General features: G+C 35.6%; 1 long non-coding RNA gene and 2 pseudogenes across 1 annotated transcript in view; all 3 read right to left on the bottom strand.

Annotated features, from left to right (window-relative positions):
* Window positions 6,692-7,544, bottom strand: VN1R53P (vomeronasal 1 receptor 53 pseudogene; annotated as a pseudogene).
* The window catches only part of LINC00993 (long intergenic non-protein coding RNA 993), a 37,844-nt gene continuing 24,874 nt past the window's right edge, over window positions 9,131-22,100 (bottom strand). Inside the window, exons 4-5 of the long non-coding RNA NR_104061.1 lie at window positions 13,747-13,834; window positions 9,131-9,383 (exon numbers count right to left, since the gene is read on the bottom strand). This is a non-coding gene — a long non-coding RNA (long intergenic non-protein coding RNA 993). The remainder of the gene's footprint in view (window positions 9,384-13,746; window positions 13,835-22,100) is intronic.
* On the bottom strand, window positions 16,389-18,746 carry TMEM161BP1 (transmembrane protein 161B pseudogene 1; annotated as a pseudogene).

Genomic DNA, 22,100 nt, shown 5'->3' with positions numbered 1-22,100 from the left:
TTCAATACCACCCTTTCATCATTAGACATACCACTTACACAGAATATTAAGTAACATTAAATTTAAACTGCAAATTAGACCAAATGGATCTAACAGACATTTACAGAACACCTCATCCAACAATGACAGAAGCATATTTTTCTTACAAGCACATTAAACATTCTCCAAGACAGATCATATGTCAGGACACAAAACAAGTCTCAATAAATTTTTAATAGTCAAAACCATATCAAATATGTTTTCAGGCCACAATGAAATAAAATGAGACTTCAAAAACATGAGAAACTTTGCAAACTGTACAAATACATGGAGGTTAAACAACATGCTCTGGAATGACCATTGGGTCAAGATAACAATTAAGAAAGATATTTTTTAAAATTGTTGAGACAAACAAAAATCGAAACACAATGTACCAAAACTAATGGAATACTGCAAAAAGAGTGCTAAGAGAGAAGTTTATAGCAACAAACTATCTCAAAAAAAGTAGAAAGCATTCTAATAAAGAATGTAATGTTTTAAATGAACCAAACCCAAAATCAATGGAAGGAAAAAAATAATAAAGATCAGAGCAGAACTAAACAAAATACAAACTAAACACGCAATACAATCAACTCCACATAAATTGGATTTTTAAAAAGATAAGCAAAATTGACAACTTGCTAGGCTATCAAGCAAAAAAGAAAGAAAATCCAAATAAACAAAATCTGAAATAAAAAAACCATTATGACTGATATCACAGAAATACAAAAGGTTATCAGAGATTATTATGAACAACTATACACTAACAAACCAGAAAAACCTAGAGGAAATGAGTAAATTCCTGGACGAATGCAACCTACCAAGATTAAAATCAACAAAAAATAGAACACCTGAGTAGACTGATAATGAGTAATGAGATTGAGTCAGTAATAAGAAGTCTCCCAACAAAGAAAAGTCCAGGCCTGGATGGCTTCACTGCCAAATTCTACCAAACTTTCAAAGAAAGCTAACACCAGTTCTCCTCAAACCATATCAAAACATTAAAGTTAAAAGGAAGAAATTCTCTGTAACTCATATTATTAGGCCAGCATTACCTTGATATCAAAATCAGACAAGAACACAAGACTGAAAGGAACTACAGGCCAATATTCCTGATATACACAGACACAAAAATTCTCAAAAAATACTAGAAAACCAAATTCAGTAGCATATCAAAAATAATAATACAGTATGATCAAGTGGGATCTATCTCTGGGACGCAATGATGGTTCAACATAGGTAAACCAATACACATTTTACATCGCATCAACAAAATGAAGGGCAAAAATCATATAATTATTTCAAACAATACAGAAAATGCATTTGATAAAATTCAACAGGTCTTCACAATAAAAAAATCTCAGCCAACTAGGCATATCATAGAAGAAACATACCTCAACATAATAAAGGTCATATAATCAAAGTCACAGCTAATACTATGCTGAATGGTGAAAAGCTCACAGCCTTTCCTCTAAGCACGGGAACAAGACAAGGACACCCATTTTCACTACTCCTATTCATTGTAGTACTAGAAGTTCTGGCCAGAGCTATCAGGTAAGAGAAAGATATCAGGGGATCCAGCCCCCAATATTTCAATGTAGGTCCTTTTTTATTTCCCCTAAGTGTTGGCCGGTCTGAGAAATAAAGAGAAGAGTACAAAAGAGAGAAATTTTAAAGCTGGGTGTCCGGGGGACACATCACATGTTGGCAGTTTCCATGATGCCCCTTGAGCCACAAAACCATCAAGTTTTTATTAGGGGTTTCAAAAGGGGAGGGGTGTATGAATAGGGAGTGGGTCACAGAGATCACATGTTTGAAAGGCAATAAAATATCACAACAGCAGAGAGGCAGAGTGAGATCACAAGACTGGGGGAAACTAGAATTACTGATGAAGGTCGATGACCTTCTGGGCACACATTTTCATGGATAAATATCTTAACAGGAAACAGGGCTCAAGAGCAGAGAACCGGTCTGACTAGAATTTCACCAGGCTGGAATTTCCCAATCCTAACAAGCCTGGGGGTGCTGCAGGAGACCAGGGAGTATTTCATCCCTTATCTGCAACTGCATAAGACAGACAATCCTAGAGTGGCCATTTTAGAGACCTCCTCCTGGGAATGCATTCCTTCCTTTTTCCAGGGTTATTCCTTGCTGAGAAAAGAATTCAGCGATATTTCTCCTGTTCGCTTTCTGAAAGAAGAGAAATATGACTCAGTTCTGTCTGGCCCCACAGGCAGTCAGACTGTATGGTTATCTCCCTGGTTCCCTGAAAATCACTGTTATCCTGTTCTTTTTAAGGTGCTCAGATTTCATATTGTTCAAACACACATGCTTTATAAACAATTTTTGCAGATAACACAATCATCACAGGGTCCTGAGGTGACAAAATCCTCAGCTTATGAAGATGACAGGATTAAGAGATTAAAGTAAAAACAGGCATAGGAAATTGTAAGAGTATTGATTGGGGAAGTGATAAATGTCCATGAAATCTTCACAATTTATGTTCAGAGACTGCAGTAAAGACAGGAGTAAGAAATTATAAAAGTATTAATTTGGGGAACTAATAAATGTCCATGAAATCTTCACAATTTATGTTGTTCTGCCGTGGCTTCAGCTGGTTCCTCTGTTCGGAGTCCCTGACTTCCCACAACGGAAAGAAATAAAATTCATTCATAAAAACAAAGTCAAATTGTCTTTTTTTTTTTTTTGGTAGATGTCATGATCTTATATCTAGAAAAACTTAAAAACTCCACAAAAAACTCTAAGTTTAATACAGTTTTTGATTAAAAACCAACAAATAAAAATCCATAACATTTCCATACACTAATAATGAATTAAGTGAAAAAGAAATCGAGAAGGCAATTTCATCTACAATAGCTACAAAAATAAAATATTTAGGGAATACACTTGATCTATAAGGTGAAATACATCTACTTCAAAAATACAACAAAACTTTGATGAAAGAAAATGTAGAGGACACAAACAAATGGAAAGACATCTCATCTTCATGGAATGAAAAAATTAATACCATCAAAATAACCATACTTACCCAAAGCAATCTACAGATTCAATGCAATCTCTATGAAAATACTAACGCCATTTTCACAAACATAGACAAAACAATCTTAAAATTTGTATGGAACATCAACAAAAAAACTCTTCAAATTATATCCCCACTTGCGTGTTTATTGCAGCACTATTCACAATAGCAACGATATAACATTAACCAGTTTCCGTCAATGAATAATTGGACAAATGCAATGTGGTATATATGTGTGTATATATATTTATGAACACTATTGGGTAATATAAATAACATGGATGGAAGCGGAGGTCATTTTGTTAAGTGAAATAAGCCAGACATGGAAAGAAAAACTTTGCATGCATTCTCTCATATGTGGAAGCTAAAATGATAATCCTTACAGAGACAGACAGTAGAATAGTATATGCCTGAGGCCCGGCACAGTGTGTGGGTGAGAAAGGGAATGAAAAGAGGGTGGTAAATGAATACAAACCCACAGTTGGAAAGGAATAAAATCTAGTGTTTAGTTGCACTGTAGATAGGCCATAGTTAACTATAATGTATTTTATATTTCCTTGCTAGAACAGATAACTTGAAATGTTCCTGACATATAGAATCGATAAATGCTCAAAGTGGTGGATACCACAGATACCCTGACTTGATCGTTGCACATTCTATACATGTAACAACATATTGCATGTGCTTTATAAATATGTAAAATATTATGTAAATCAATTTTAAATCTACTTTTAGCAATTTCAAAATATACAGTGCATTATTATTTATTATACTCATCATTTTTTGCACTAGATCAATCTCATGCCTCCTGTGTAACTGAAACTTGGGTACTTTTTGATCAACACCTTCCCTTTCTCCATCCACATTCTTCCCCAGCCTCTGACACATTTTCACTCATATTAGGTGACATTTAAATTATAGAAACTAATGGTTTTAGTATACAACAAGCAAATAAACATCATTAACGTTAAATACATTTATTAGAAAGTTTGACTAATTAGGGATAGAAATAAATGGGCAGCATTTTTGGCCAGAAAACAAAAGATAATGATTATTTTCAATTACCAGACCCAAGGATTTGAAATGGAAAGGTTTAGGCCTAAAATACGTTATTGAATTTATGACAGCAGAAATTCAGATCATATTTTCTGATCATTGTAAGTAATATAAATTATTGACTAATATGTAACCAACAAATAATATCTAGCTACATTCAAATTTTATTAAGGTTTTAAAAATTAACTTCTGGGTTAAATGGAAGATTCAAACTGAGATTGCATTTATGGATTGAGGGAAATGTTAATGAGGAAGTATATGATGAAAGCCAAAACCTAAATTCAAATAAGTAATTTTGCCAATATTAAGTTACTTCTATAGAAAAACAGTGAAGTATTATCACTTCAGAAATTTGTGCACAATGTAAGATGAGTTTTCTAATATTAAAAAAATTACACACTACAAATTTTTGTTACCTCATAGTATATTGGAGGAGAGCTGTCTTTTAAATGAAGTAACTAGGATTTTGTTATGAGATGCTGTCATCTGCAACAGAATATATATATAGTTTTCCTCATGTGTACACTATTGATATTTGTGCTTTTTGAGAAAATGCAATACTCATTAAAAACATTTAATACAGAAAGCTAAAATTCTCAGAAAGTCCTAAGAATTCCTAAAATGCTGAATAGAGTTGAAGGGAAAATATAAGAATCTACCAGGAATATAAGTAAAATAAAGAAACAATCCAGAAACAACTCATCATGCTAAGAAGCAAGTGCTGCTCTTAGATATGGGTGACTACATTGATGCCAAATCCATGCAGGTTGTCCGACTTGCCATAAAGCAAATAAAAAAAAAAAATAAAGCCTCAAACTTATGGCAGATCTCAAATCTGAGAAACAAATTATAACTTACGTTGCACACCGAGAAAAAAGTTACTAGAATGAGTGTCAGAAGAAATTCAATACATTAAAAAAAAGAAAAAAATAACATGGAAAGAACAAGAAGTTATAAGCTTAAGAAGTTATATTCAGCCAAGCGGAAGATAGATAATTACAAATAAAACTGATCAATTTAATACTCAATATATAAGTTAAAAATTAAAGTATTATCTAAGCTGATAATATTAGTGAACAGAAATTAGTGAGCACAATTATTATAGTCCAATACAGTAAAAGGAGAAAAGGTAATAGAAAACACAAATATAATTATACATACATGAAGAGTAGAAGTAAAAGAATGAGAAAGAAAACAAATCTAATTGTTTCTTTAAAATATATTTAAAAATAAACAGCAATAGTTGGCTGGTCGCGGTGGCTCACGCCTGTAATCCCAGCACTTTGAGAGACTGAGGCAGGTGGATCACGAGGTCAGAAGATAGAGACCACCCTGGCTAACATGGTGAAACCCTGTCTCTACTAAAAATACAAAAAATTAGCCGGGTGTGGTGGCAGGGGCCTGTAGTCCCAGCTACTCGGGAGGCTGAGGCAGGAGAATGGCATGAACCCAGGAGGCGGAGCTTGCAGTGAGCAGAGATCGCACCACTGCACTCCAGCCTGGGCGACAGAGACAGACTCCATCTCAAAAATAATAATAATAATAAAAAGAGAATACACTTTGGGAGGCCAAGGCTGGCAGATCACGAGGTCAGGAGATTGAGACCATGGTGAAACCCCGTCTCTACTAAAAAATATACAAAAAATTAGCTGGGCGTGGTGGCAGGCACCTGTAGTCCCAGCTACTTGGGAGGCTGAGGCAGGAGAATGGCGTGAACCCGGCAGGTGGAGCTTGCAGTGAGCCGGGATTGCACTACTGCACTCCAGTCTGGGCAACAGAGCAAGACTGTGTCTCAAAAAAAAAAGAAGAAGAGAGAACAGCGATAGTCAAAGAATTCGTAATATAAATATAAGTTTCTACAATTGAAAACATGAATCCTTGAATTCAGAAATTGTGTGTCCAAAAAAGAAAAAAATAAATAATACATAAAAGAAATCATAATCTGTATAACACCAAAAATGAGGAAAACACTAAAAATCAGCAAGAGAAAAATACATAACTTGCAAAGATGAGAGAAAAATTCCACAGCTCTTGTGGAGCCAAAAACAGAGAAATGAATACTAATAGAGGTGAGTAAAATATCATTAAAGCAACAATTAGATACTTAGCTAAAATGCCTTAGTCAAAAAAAGACTAAAATACTTTCAAAAGAAAAAACACTATGTTTTTTGGTTACAAATAGGAGCTTCTTAAGAGTACACTTCAAGAAGAAAGAAATGCTTTTTGTGAATACAGTTAAAAATTAAAGAGTAAGAGACTTGATTTGGGAAGATCAAAATCTGGTGGACTTTGAACTAAAGAAACCAAATAATTCTTGGTAGCATGAAATTCAAAAATATTTAGATATGAAATTACAATTTTACACATTGTACTTAAGTCAGATGAAAATCCTGTGCTACCTTCAGTAATTTAACTGTTGAAGGAAAAATCTGTTTTTTCAGAGGATTATTTTTCTGTTATGATCTTATTAAAAATGATGCCTCTTTGAATTTATTTTTTGCAGAACATTGATTATTCCTTTATCAATTGATTTGTACCAAAGGACACACTGATCTGTACCAAAGAACAAACGGAAGCCTAAAGATGGACCACAAACCTTTGGATATCCAGGATAACTGAGTTAAAAACCTACCACACGGTTAATAAAATAATGATGTCCACTGAGTCCATGACCACAAAGCAAATCACCAGCAGCAGGATGGCATGGGCGGCCCTTTTCGCTGGGGAGGGACTGGAGCAGAGGCTGGGGCTGTGAAGGTGATGGGATCACCTCTGATGGTTAAACAAGAGTACTACCATGCACACAATTGAGAGCAACATAATTTCTACAAAGAAAACATTTGGGGAAAATTCCAGAATAAAAATCAGTCCCCTTGATTATAGAGATTACCTAGGAAAATGAACAATATTTACTTGTCGGTATTTGTCAGTTGCCTGGTCTGTGTCACTTGAAATAAGCTACGGTGTACATGATCATGTTACTTCTGGAAAATAAATTGAGGAACCAAAAAGAGAAGAAAACATGGATAATGTAATTTGTGGATTTATGTTTAACTCTTGCCAACCAGGAGGTGCTAGGATTGATGGTGATGGCCTGGAGAGTACTCAGGAGGCAGGAGGTGCAGATGGAGAGGCCCCTTGTCACTCTGCTCAGGTAGAATTACACTTTACATCTGAAGTCATTCCAAAAATGCAGTGACTCAAATACATCTGGAGACAACAAATCCATTACTATGAGAAGCATCACTAGGTGAATAAAGGCCAAGGTGATGGCCAAGGTGATCACCTGACAGGTGATCAGGTCATGGGGACTTAGGCTTGTTATTCAGAAAGAATGTGAAGATGTGGAGAAAAAAAAAAAAAAAACAAGAAAGTGCTGGCGGACCCCAGTGCCAGCTTGGAAATAAAAGGGATCTTTTAATGATAACATAAGTGGAAAGTGGGTTCTTCCAAATGGCAAAGAGAAAACCTATTTTGTATATCTGGAAAAGAAAGACTTCATATCATCAGTGTTTATTACTTAGTAGTTAATATCCTCACAAATCATCTTCATTTTTATACTATCCTCTTACCCTTGATAAACCCAGACTATCTCATATGACTTCTTGATAATTCAGTCTCTACATTATTTTCTATACCAAATTGTGTACGTAATAATTTAATAAATATTATTAGTAAAACATACATGTATTAATATTTGTCTCACCAAGCCATCCACAATTATGACCTTATAAAATGTACACTATCTATACTCTAATTGTACCTGGGCCTCCCCTTTTAGACATTATACTTTTGTTCTATATTCTCTCACTTTATATTGATGCTGTTAACATAAAATTATCCAATTTTATGTATACAGTTTATGGGAACTTGGTGGAATTTTAAGCTAATATGGAGAAAATTACCAAAGCAAACAGTTGAAAAAAACATTATCTGGTTGTCTTTCTAAGATGCCATCATTTTGACATTTTACATTCTCTATATCTCTTTCACATTTCTGGACCCTAGTTACTACACTGAATTCACCATTATAATTCATTATAATATCCCTATTTTTCATCAGAAGATTAGCAATCTTGATCCTATGTATAACTTTGTATGCCCATTGCCATGAAACATAATATATTCCCAATATCTGAGAAGTAGAACATAAACATCTTTGGAGGGCATTATTGTGCTTACCAAAACCCTCAGCTGTACCACATAAAAATGGTGCTGGGTTTTTCCCAGTTTAGTTTCCATCTAAGAGATTCTTTATCTAAATTCATTTCAACACATCAGCATATTTCTGATATCCATCACTGACTTTTAAAGAGAGTAAACACTACTTGCAATAAGTTTATAAAAACCATAAAGTTGCATCAAAATGATCACATCATGATTTTTTTTTGAGATCCCACTTAATACAGGAATCCCCTCTTACGCCTTGAACAATACTTTGGTCTCCAATTTAAAATATAATTTTCCTCAAGTTGTCTCAGGAAATCCACAACATCAGAACACCTTGCATGATTTCACTGAACAATTTTGCAGCTACTAATGTTATTTGCCAGGATGTAGGCATCGTTGTGCTATAAAATCTATTTAATCCAGTGACTCGAACAATTTACCCTTACATCACAAAAAAATGAAAAACTACCACAATTAATCAGTTTCTTTTGAGATAAAAGTGGGTCCAATGATATGTCAAGATCAATTATGACTATACTGTAGAACATTGCTCTACAACCTCCTGATATCTATGAGTTTATAAGAAACACATTTTATAGTTAAAATTGTTATCTTTGTCCAAGAGCGTAAGTTAGTAAAGAAACATTTATCTTACTGCCAGAACCAATAACTGATAGTTCTTTAGCATCTCTCTGCACCCTCAGCACAATTTTCCTCAGCTATCATGATGGAACCAGGAAAAGCATCAGGATACTATTGACTTAAGAGCTTAATGGTCTCTATATTTTCAGGATTATACTTCCAGTAATATAATACTTGGATATGCACTAATAACATTGGCAACTATTTGTAAACTACATGTTTATATACTTTTATTAATACAATACACACATTATAAGTCACACACAAAAAGAGATAAAATAATTAGATAAAATAACATAAGAATTTGAATATTTTCTTCTTTTGCCTAAGATATATTCAGCTTGCCCCATGTATTTTATGGCCCTCTTTCTGCTAATAACAATAACACACTAAAAAATACTTGCTCTGAGTCATCAGATGGAGTCTTCCTTCAACAAGGCTCTTCAGGTCATTGGTGCTGAGGCAGGACAAGAAAACAGCATGATATCACGGATTAGAATTGATAACTAACCCAAATGTCCATCAATAATAGACAGGATAAAGAAAATGTGGCACATATACACCATGGAATACTATGCAGCCATAAAAAGGATGATTTCATGTCTTTTGCAGGGACATGAATGAAGCTGGAAAGCATCATTCTCAGCAAAATATCACAAGGAGAGAAAATCAAACACCACATGTTCTCACTCATAAGTGGGAGCTGAACAATGAGAACACATGGACACAGGGGAGGGAAACATCACATGCTGTGGCCTGTTGGGGGGTGGGGGCTGGGGGAGGGATAGCATTAGGAGAAATACCTAAGTGAGTGACGAGATGGATGCAGCAAACCAATGTGGCACATGTATACCTATGTAACAAACCTGCACTTTGTGCACATGTACCCTAGAAAATAAAGTATAATAATACTTTGGGAAAGTATTATTATAGTTTGGGAAAGTTACTTTAGAAACAAGACAAGAATATCTGTTTCTACCACTTCTATTCAACATTATACTGAAGGTCTTAGTGAAAGATATCATGCAACAAAAATAATCAATGGCCTCCACCTGGGGATTGGAAACTTTACAGTATCATGCAAATAAAAATTTCTAAGGAATTTTGAAAAACCCACTAGAACGAATAAATGAGTTCAGCAAGTTTGCATGATTCAACATCTGTACAAATTTTTTTGAAGATGGCTGACTAGGAGCATTTCAAGCCAGCTGCATCCATTTAGTACCATAATAGTATATAGACAATCATACATTCAGTACATTATCCAAGAGAGAATGCAAGAGTTCAACAGAAAAGTGACAGGAAATGGCAAAAACTAGAAAGGAAAAGAAAAACAGGCAGCCTGTGTGGCCAAGACTGGCTGGAAATCAGGAGTGACTCTATAATATAGGAGAAAGTAAGCAACAGCTTTTCTCTGGTCCATTTTCTCACCGGGGAATCATAAAATCTAGATCATGGGAGAGCACTTTGACCCTCCCATTCCCTGAATCTAGCAAAGGGTGACCCTGAATCAGGTGACTGAGAGAAGAAACCACTCAAGGGAGGGAACATGCCCTTGGTTCCACACACTTCCTATAGCCTAAGAAGCTATAGCAAGATGCCATTTTTAATCTTAGCTCTTAACAGACTGTTCATGGTCCTAGTTATCAGGGTTGTTGACATTCCTAGTCATTAAGGAAACTCAAGCTGCTGCTCATGGAACTGGGGCATGAGCAGGGAGTGGGCTAACACAACCAAGACTGAGAAGCAAGCATGACATGGACTGCAGCCAACAGCACTGAAAGTGGTCATTATCCCAAGGACTTGAGCAGGGTGACAGCTGTCACAGTGGCTTGGTCTTGAGCTGTGGAGGAGTTCCTATGAACCAGGGTTGAACTAAAGAACAGCATAAATTTCTCAGGTCTGACAGAATAGCCAGGTTGTCTGTGACAGGTGGGAGGAGGGAGCAAGCCCCAGTGGGGCTGGGCATGAGAGGGATAAATTTACCCAACCACCAGTCACCAGTCAAAGTTGTGGATGCTGAGACCACCACCCCCGTCCCTGTGGCAGGACCCCAGAGCAGTGACAGTTGCCCCTCACCCAAGCATTTCACCAGCCCCCTGAGGATTGCCTAACTCCTATCAAATACATCTGTGCAGGCACTCACCACTGGGGGAACCTGAGTGTAATTCAGCTCCATCCAGTATCACCCCTTCCTTAGGACAAAGTGCAGGATCCAGGGTCCTGGGGAGGTTCCCCAATCTAATCCACCACCTGGGACAACAAATTGTGTCTTTTGGGGGCACCGAAGTTGGGCATAAACCACACACTGCTTCCATCACAGCTGGCTTTTACCTGCAAGTGCCAACAACTGGCCTAGACACTGGCATACACAGCCCATTGCAACCATTGCCAACACAATTGGGACTCAGAAGAGCACTTGAGACTTGGAAGAGCATTTCGCCACTTCTTCTACCTACATTGCCCATGCCACCATGGCTGTCCAGAAGTTTGAGAGTCCATTTGCCCTCCCGGTATGCTACAATTACAACTGGCATCTGAGTAAGCTACCCTGCTGGTGGCCTGCCTGGAGTCACCAACACAGGTGCCAGCATATGTCACTATAGGTCAAAAGGATAGATAAGCTTAGTTCACCAACACTACCACTGAAACCTAGAGATGGGCCCATACAGCACTTCAGTGTAGCCATCACAACTTCACTGTAGCCCCTAGCAATAACCACACTGTAATGCACTGAGGAAACCACAGATACCACTAATGATATTTACAGCCAAAGAAATCACACAGAGACTTCATGATTGAATGCAAAGCCAACAAACCCTACCCAACCAACATTATAGTCACATCTTCAGGAAAAAAATCCTCACCCTCAAAGAAAGTAAATTCAAAAATAAAAAGTGACTTTTACATCAGATGCACAGAAATCAATGTACAGACATAAGAAACATAAGAAAGCAAGGACATATGACATCCCTAAAGGAATATAATATTTCCTTAACAAAAGTTTTTTTTTTTTTTTGAGACGGAGTCTCTCTCTGTCTCCCAGGCCAGAGTGCAGTGGTGCGATCTCGGCTCACTGCAAGCTCCACCTCCCAGGTTCACGCCATTCTCCTGCCTCAGCCTCCCGAGTAGCTGGGACTACAGGCGCCCGCCACCACAGCCAGCTAATTTTCTTTGTATTTTTTTAGTAGAGGCGGGCTTTCATCATGTTAGCCAGGATGGTCTTGATCTCCTGACCTCATGATCCACCTGCCTCAGGCTCCCAAAGTGCTGGGATTACAGGCGTGAGCCACTGTGTCCGGCAAGGAAAGATCTTAACCAAAAATAAGTCCTCAAAATATCAGAGAAAAATTCAAAAATATTATTTAAAGTCAGCAGGTTCACAAGACTTCTTACACCACATAATGTGTCATATCTTCTCCAGCTCTAATAACATTTTCCTCATTGTCCTTCAGCCCTTCACTGTCAGTCTCTTCATGGCTCTTCCAGCTTCTGCCCCTTACCCGGTACCAATTCAATGCCACGTAGTTTTGTTAAAAAAGCACTTCCGACTTCCATGTGCCAAATTCATTTCTTGTTATCTACTGCTGCATAATAAACTTCCCCAAAACTTTCTAATGGCTTTAAACAATAGGCATTTCATTATAATATATCTCACAATTCCAGATGTCAGAAACTCAAACAGGGCTCAATTGGGGTAATATTTTTTTTTTCCACATGATAGTAACAAAGGTTACCCTGTGGTATTCAGATGTTATCTGGGCTGGGCTGGGTTGGTCACTCACATGTCCGGCACTTTGATGGAGAAGGTTGGGCTCAGCTGGGAGCTTCAACTGGAGTATCTACACATGGCCTCTCTAGCATCACAGTCTCAAGGTAGCCAGACTTCTTATGTGGCAGCTCAGGGCTTTCAGAGTGTTCCCAGACAGCTGTACCAAAGATGCAAGGCCTCTTATGCCCTACATTCAGAAGTCCCAGTATCTGCTATATTCTAATGGTCAAATGATACACTAAGGCCAGCCCACACTCAGGGGAAGAGAATTATAATCCATCTCGTATTGAGAGAAATCGAAAGGATTTTGTGGCTCTATTTTAACATTTTGATTGATGTATAATTGCCATACAATAAATTGCACCTGTTTATGGTGTAAAATTTGGTTAAGTTTTGACACATGTATGCCCATGAAACCATCACCACTATCATGATAATAAATATATTCATCACCCCCTAAAAATTACAAAACATTAAGTTTAAAGAAGTTCAGTGAGATGCATGGGAAATCTGAAAACCAATAAAAGAAAGTGAGAAAATCAATTCAAGGTACAAATGAGAAAGGAAATAGGTATCTCAAAAAAGAAAAGAAAAGAAAACCCAGAAATTCTGAAGGAAAAAAAATATATTGGAGGAAATACAAAACACATTTAAAACATTAAAAAATAGGCTATACCAAGGAAAAGAAAAAAATTCCATGACTTGAAGTAGGTCCTTTAAAATAATTAAGACAAAATTTTGCAAAATAAATTTTTAAAATAAGTGAAACTCTTTGAGACATTTGGGACTCCATAGGACAAACCAAATTATGAATTGTATTCTTAAGGGTTATGAGAATTCAAAAGACCTAGAGAACCTATTTAATGAAATAACAGATAAAATCTTTCCACATTTAGCAAGAGATTTAGACATTCAGATATGGAAGGCTCAGTGTTCCCTAACAAATGCAGTGAAAAAGGACTTCACCACAGCACATTAAAATCTGACTGTCTCAAATCAATGTAAATGCATAGATTCTAAAACCAGAAAGAGAAGTACATCTACTCACCTATGAAGGAGACCCCATCAGACTAACAGTGGATTTCTCAGCAGAAATCATAAAGGCCAGAAAACAGTGGAATGGCATTTTCAAAATGCTGAAAGAAAAAATAATGTCAGCTAAGAATTCCACATTCAGCAAGGCTAAACTTCATAAATAAAGTATATATGAATCTTTTCCAGGCAAGCAAATCCTAAAGAAATTTGTCACCACTAGACTGGCCCTACAAGAAATGCTCAACTCATTCCTAAACATGGAAGTAAAAAGACAACATTTACAACCAGGAAAACACATGAAAGTATAAAACTCACTGGTAAAGCAATCACATGAAGGAGGAAGAGAAACGAATCACAGGACTTTACTACAGAAACTCCACTACAGAAACTCCACCAAACAACGACAGTCAAAGAAAAGGAAAAATTCAAAGAATTTATAAATTAACTAGAAAACAATAACATGACAGGAACAAAACCTTACATATCAATTACATTCCTTGATTGTAAATGGATTAAATATTCATTTAAAAATATATAGACTGGCTGAATACATTTTGAGCTATATGCTGCTTACGAGAAACTCATGTTACCTGTAAAGGAGTGGACAAAGATACTCCATGCAAATGAAAACTAAAAGCAAAAAGGAGAAGCTACACTTATACCAGATAAATCAGACCTTAAGTCAAAAACAGTTAAGGAAATGCAAAAGGGTTATTATATAATAATAAAGGGGTCAATTCATTAAGAACTTACACCAATTACAAATATATATTTACAAAATGCTGGATCACCCACATTTATAAAACCTATATTTAGTTATAAACAGAGAGATAGGGAGAAATACAATAATACTTGGGAAATTCAACACACCATTCAGAGCATTAGACAAATTATCTAGATAGAAAATAAATAAATAAACGTTGGACTAAAATGGGACTTTAGACCAAATGACTTAACAGACATTTACAGAACATTCTACTCAACAACTGCAGAATATATATTCTTCTCATCAGCACATGGATTATTGTCCAAGACAGACCATATTTTAGGCCACAAAATAAGTCTCAACAAATTTTAAAATACTGAAATCAGATTAAGTATCTTCGCAGACCACAGTGGAGTAAAACTAGAAATCAATACCAAGAGAAACTCTGGAAATTATACAAATAAGTGAAATTTAAATAACATGAATGACCGTGAAGTCAACAAAGAAATTAAGATGAAAATTATTTATAAAATGAATTCTAAAATTGGAAGCAAAAGGAAAACCTTCATGAAAACAAATAAAATTAAAAAACCCATTGGTAAAGCAAATACACAAATAAGGAAGAGCAAGGATTCATGGTACCACTACAAAAAAACTAACAACAATGACAAAGTCAGAGAAATAGTAAGGAACAAAGAATATATAAAACAGTTAAGAATATAACAGAAACACTACCTTAGATATCAAAGACAACCTTGAATGTAAATGCATTATATTATTCACTTAAAATAATAGACTGTGTGAATGAATTTAGAAAACATGGTCTGACTACATGCTGCCTACAAGAAATGCACCTCACCTATTAAGACAAATATAGATGAGAAAGCAAAAGCATGAAAAAAGATATTTCATGCAACAAGAAACCAAAAGTAAGCAGAAGTAGCTATACTTATATCACACAAACCAGAATTTAAGTTAGAAAAAGAAAAGAAACTCATTAAATAATAATAAAGTGATCAATCCAGCAACAGAGTATAACAATTCTGAATATATACATTCAGCAAACACTGGAATACCCAGATTCATAAAGCAAATATTACTACATCTAAAAAGAGGAATAGACTGCAATACAATAACTGTGGGAGACTTCAATACCCCCACCTCAGCATGAAAAAGATTATTAAAACAGTAAATCAAAAAACAAACACTGGATTTAAACTGGAATTTAGGCCAAATGATTTTAATAGTTATTTACAAAACATTTTATCCAACAAGGGCGGAATAAACGTTCTTTTTATTAGCACATTCTCCATACAGCCTACAAATGTCAACATTTAAAAAACAATAGGCTGCCCCAGCGGTGTGGCTCACGCCTGTAACCCGAGCACTTTGGGAGGCCGAGACGGGCAGATCACGAGGTCAGTAAATCGAGACCATCCTGGCCAACACAGTGAAACCCCATCTCTACTAAAGGTACAAAAAATTAGCGGGGCGTGGTGGTGGGCGCCTGTAGTCCCAGCTACTCAGGAGGCTGAGGCAGGAGAACAGGGTGAACCCAGGAGGCGGAGCTTGCAGTGAGCCGAGATTGCGCCACTGCACTCCAGCCTGGGCAACAGTGCAAGGCTCCGTCTCAAAAAATAAATAAATACATAAATAAATAAATAAATAAAATAAAACAAAACACAATAGGCTATAAACGACAACAAAGTAAAAAATATATATATATTGCAAATAACTCGAACCACCATAAAATACAAGTAAAAACCTACACCAAGAGGATCTTTGGAAACTATATGAATACATGAAAATTAAATAACATAATCCCAAATGACCATTAATAGTTAAGATGGACTTTTTTTTTGAACTTTCAAAATGTATTTTAATCGCATTCCAAAAAGAAATAAAATTTCTAGATACAAATACATCTCATTCAAATCACTTTTTAACATACATTCTGCAACTTAAAATGTTATAAGGAATCACTATTTCCATCTTTTATAATCTCAATATATTATATATTTAATATATAATAGATGTACAATACATACAGGTAGTCAGCAAGTTTACAAAGTAATTTCTTTAAAGTCTGATCAGTATTGATAAATATTTTTAGACTATTAAAAGGAACTATTTAGGATCATAGAATAAAAAAAATATGGCAGGTCTAAGCCTAATGGCAAGATTACAAGTGTTCATATGGCCAATCATTTTAAAAGAACTCTCAAGGTGGGTAGAATATGTTTTAAAACAATACTCTTGCCATTCTCAAGCAGCAGTAGTTGTAGATAATAACCATATTCATCTCCACTAAATTTAAAATAACTATGCAGCTTTCTTTACTATAATATACAGTAGCTATCTCTTCCTTTCTGTTGGATTTTATCGTTTCAAGAGTAACTAATATATTACCAACAGAAGAGACTTTAGCCCCTTTCTCTCCCCTAAAGCATGGCTCAGTTTGAAGATTGTTCTATAGGCAGCCACTATGACGACCAGCAGTACCATAATACCATTAAAAGCAATCAATAACTGGAGTCATGTGAGATGTTTCAAAGACTGCTGGAGGTTTCTGTAAGCCAAGGTAATCAGAAATATTACCCTTGTAGATAGCCCTCATACCAGTAAATACCAACAGTTAAAATTCCAATGCCACAGTGTAACAGTTAACAATCTATTTTGTAATTTTAACATTAATTCACCCTGAGAATACAGAGGAAACATTTAATACAAGATATTCTGATTTTTTTCCATTGTATTTGCTTTCTTCTGGTTTTCGTCAGCCCTTTAAGGGCACAAATATTTGAATTTAAACTGTGATTTTGATATGCTTTTTTGTTAACTGAGATTCATGCCACAGTCAGATACTGGTGATAAAAAAGCCCAAAAAGGCTTGTAGAAAAGAGGCAAGCAGCAATCTACCAGGTCAGAAAAGACAGAAGTCCTCAAAAAACAAGAAGTGTAAAAATGTTTTTAAGCTGCTCAGTGCCACTGTTATTTGTGTAACAGTAACCTTCATCTTCTCTTCAGCTGATGGTAATTCAGAGTAAACAGAATTGTAGAGTAGACTATTATCCACTGGTAAGGTAGAGACAGATTCTGGATAAATACCCCAGGAATGATTACCTAGTGTTTTCAAAAGCAGAGTTGTGTGAAACAGTGTTACCAGAGGCACCACATACTGCAGTGCAATGACAAAAAGATAATAAAAGACTCAAGCCACCATTTTCTGTAGCTCAACTGTACTTATTCACCCTGCTTCTTTCTTCATCTGATCCACACATTTTTGGGCTAAATTTAAATAAGCTTGCAGGTGACTATGCATCATGGCCAACCGCAAAGCACACAGCAGGATTATTAACCAGATTTGCAGAGTACCAAATGTGGCTTCTGTCATTAAAGTGATGCTTTCTTCACCCAAGGTTGGGTTCATAATGTAGTCTTTGGTGACTGGTTTTACCCAGAGCAGAACCATAAATAAATGTGCCAAGAAGCTGATATGAAATAATGTTTGTGTAATTTTTTCTGTTGCCAAATTCAGGGTATCCAGATGCATTTGAGCCAGCCGTAATCCAGGAAATGTGAAAAAAGCCCCAGTGAGTGAACAGAAAATAGCCAGGAAAAAATTTGGAAGTAAGTTTTAAAACAGGACTCTGAGATTCTAAACCTTGCTTTTCAAGAAACTGCATCGCACTGCCTGAAAAATTTGTAAACCCTGTTTCAAGTCCAAATTCCAGATAATTTTCTGTTACAATCAACACTGCCATTGCTTTGACAAAGAAAAAAAATCCAAAGGTGACACAAACAGATCTTTCACCAGCATCTTCTACTTTAAAATAGTGTGTAATTAATGAAAATAGAACTTCGATTGCAAAAGACGAAACAAGCAGGCACCAGACTAAGCTGATATTTATTTCCTGTGTAGGCTTCATAAACTTGTAGTCGACTTCAGTTACTAGATACACGACTGTAGCAGCCACTGTGAAATCCACCAGTCACTGGTATTCTGGGAAGTAATGCAATGCTAATGTATCCACTTCTGTAACTGACTTTGTTTCTAGACGAAGGTCAATATCCTTTGGAATGGTTAATGGCTTACTTTCAGTGTGACCATTATATTTCCTATCTTTTTTGCTTTTCTCTTTTTGCTGATTCCCTGCAAGAATTCTTGATTCTTCTACTGTAGAATGTTGATACCACCTCAAACTGCCATTACAGAGTAGCCATTGAGCAAGAGAATAGCGAGGTATAATCTTCTGCATGACACTGGCCATCACCATGGTAACAACAGCTGTATACCTATCACACCCTATGAGCGAGAACATGCGGTGTTTGGTTTTCAAGATGGACATTTTTTTAAACTATCGAAAGAAATAAAAATGAAAACACGACATGTCAAAATCTATACTATACAGCAAAAGCATTAAGAACAGGTAGGCTATAGCAATAAACATCTACACCAGAAAGCAGAAAGATTTCTTATAAACAATCTAACAATGCACCTCAAGGAAGTGAAAAAGCAAGAACACAGCAAACCCAAAATTTGCAGGATGAAAGAAATAATAAAGATTGGAGAAAAACTAAAGATAGACTAAGGAAAGAAATGCAAAGGTCAATGAAGTGATAAGTATGTTATTCAAAAATATAACCAATATTGATAAACTGCTAGCTTGACTAACCAAGAAAAGAGATAAGAAACAAATCAGCAAAATAAAAGAACAGACACTACAATTGATATCACAGAAATATCAAAGATAATCAGAGAATATTATAAATGCTAACAAACAGGAAAATATAGAGGAAATGATTGAATTTCTATAAACACACAACCTATCCAATTGAATCAGAAGTAGAAAAACTGAACTGATGAATGAATAATGAAATTGAGTCAGTAATAAAATGTCTCCCAACAAAAAAAAGAGACATGATCAGGTCGATTAACTGCTGAATTCTTCCAAATGTATTAAAAAAGAATGAACATCAATCCTCCTCAAACTATTTCAAAAACACATAAGAGAAAGGAATGCTTCCAAACTTATTTTGTGAGGCCACAATACCAAACCAGACAAGGATCTGCCACCAACAACACAAAACTACAGGCCAATATCTGTAAGAAAACGTAGATGCAATGATCTTTAATAAAATACTAGCAAACCAAATGCAACAGCACATCAAAAGGTAATGCACCATGATCAAGTGAAATTTATACCGAAATGCAAGGATGGTCACATACACATATCAATACACTGAATACATTGCCTCAGTAGAATGAAGAACAAAACCCATATAACTAGGTTAATAGATGTAGAAAAAGTAATTGATAAAATTTAACATCTGTTCATATTAAAAACTCTCAACAAACTAGACATAGAAAGATCATTCTGCAAAATTATAAAGGTCATATGTGACAAACCCAAAGCTAACAATATACTGAACAGACAAAAGCTGAAAGCTTTTTCTCTAAGACACAGAACAAAAAAAGAATGTTCACTTTCACAAATCTTATTGAACATGAAAGTCCTAATCAGTAATCTGGGAAGAGAAAAAAATAAGAAACATCCAAATTGACTTGCAAAAAGAAGTCAAATTGTCCACTTTGCAGATGACATAATTTTGTATATAGAAAGACCTAAAAAAGACTCCAACAAAAGACTGTAAGAACTCATAAACAAGGCCAGGCACTGTGGCTCATGCCTGTATTCCCAGCGCTTTGGGAGGCCAAGACAGGTGGATCTCCTGAGGCCAGGAGTTCAAGAATAGCCTGGCCAACACGATGAGACCCTGTGTCTACTAAAAGTGAAAAAATTAGCCTGTGGTGGCACGCACTTGTAGTCCCAGCTAGTCTGGAGGCTGAGGCAGGAGAATCACTTGAACCCAGAAGGCAGAGATTGCAGTGAGCTGAGATCATGCCATTGCACTCCAGCCTAGGCAAAAGAGCAAGACTCCATCTACAAAAAAAAAAAAAAAAAAAAAAAAAAAAAGAAAGAAAAGAAAAAAAGAAAAGAACTCATAAATAAATTTAGTAAATTTGGACAATATGAAATCAACATACAAAAATCAATCAGTAGTGTTTCAATACATTGATAATAAAATAGTCAAAAAATGAAGCAAGAAGGCAATCCTGTTTACAATAGCTATATAGATTACCCAGGAGTAAATTTAACCAAGACATGAAAAATGTTTACAAAGATAACTACAGAACACTGATGAAAGAAATTGAAGAGGACACAAACAAATTTAAAGAAATCTCATGCTCATGGATAGAATTATTATCATTAAAATGACTACATTGTCCAAAGAAATCTAGAGTCAATGCAATTGCTATCAAAATAACACCACTTTTATAGAAATAAAAAAACAGAAATCTATCATTTGTATGAAACCTAAAAAGAACTACAATAGCCAAATTAATCCTGAGCAAAACCAATGGAACAAAACAGAGAACCCAGCAATACACTTATGTTTGTATAGCCTATTGATTTTCAACAAAGGCAGCTAGAATGTACACTGGGAAAAGAATACCCTCTTCAGTAAATGGTGCTGGGAAAATTGAATATCCATATGCAAAAGACTGAAACTATATCTCTTACCATACACAAAAGCCAACCCAAGATGGATTAATGACTTAAACATAAGATCTAAAATTATAAAACTACAAGAAGAAAACATTTAAAAAATCAGAACATTGGTCTAGGCAAATATTTTTTGGTTAAGACCTCAAAAACAGAGCCAACTAAACACAAAGACAAAATGAAACTATAATAAATGAAAAAGCTTCTGCACAGCAAAAGAAATAATCAAAATGCCGAAGAGACAAACTGTTGCATAGAATATATTGAAAAGTACTCAGCTGACAACAAATATTTAGAATATATAAGAAACTCAAGCAAGTCAAGAATAAAAAAAACTCATTAAAAAGTGGTCAAAGGACATGCATGGATATTTCTCAAATGATGACACAGTAATGAAAAACAGGTCCATGAAAAAATGCTTAACATCCTCTGGGAAATGCAAATCAAAAGCACAATGAGGCATCATTTTACCTCAGTTAGAATGGCTATGATATGCACACGTATGTTTATTGCGGCATTATTCACAATAGCAAAGACTTGGAACCAACCCAAATGTCCAACAATGATAGACTGGATTAAGAAAATGTGGCACATATACACCATGGAATACTATGCAGTCATAAAAAATGATGAGTTCATGTCCTTTGTAGGGACATGGATGAAATTGGAAATCATCATTCTCAGTAAACTATCGCAAGAACAAAAAAACCAAACACTGCATATTCTCACTCATAGGTGGGAATTGAACAATGAGAACACATGGACCCAGGAAGGGGAACATCACACTCTGGGGACTGTTGTGGGGTGGGGGGAGTGGGGAGGGATAGCACTGGGAGATATACCTAATGCTAGATGACGAGTTAGTGGGTGCAGTGCACCAGCATGGCACATGTATACATATGTAACTAACCTGCACATTGTGCACATGTACCCTAAAACTTAAAGTATAATAATAATTTTTAAAAAAGACAAAAAATAATAGACACAGTTAAGAATGTGATAAAAATTAATGTTTATATGCTGTTGGTGGGAATGTAAATTAGTACAACCAGTATAGAAAACAGTATAGATATTTCTCCAAAAAGTAAAAAT

Source organism: Homo sapiens, chromosome 10 (genome assembly GCF_000001405.40).
Source record: "Homo sapiens chromosome 10, GRCh38.p14 Primary Assembly".
Taxonomy (NCBI): domain Eukaryota; kingdom Metazoa; phylum Chordata; class Mammalia; order Primates; family Hominidae; genus Homo; species Homo sapiens.
The sequence above is the reverse complement of the archived record's forward strand: the minus strand, read 5'-3'. Positions and strand labels throughout refer to the sequence as shown.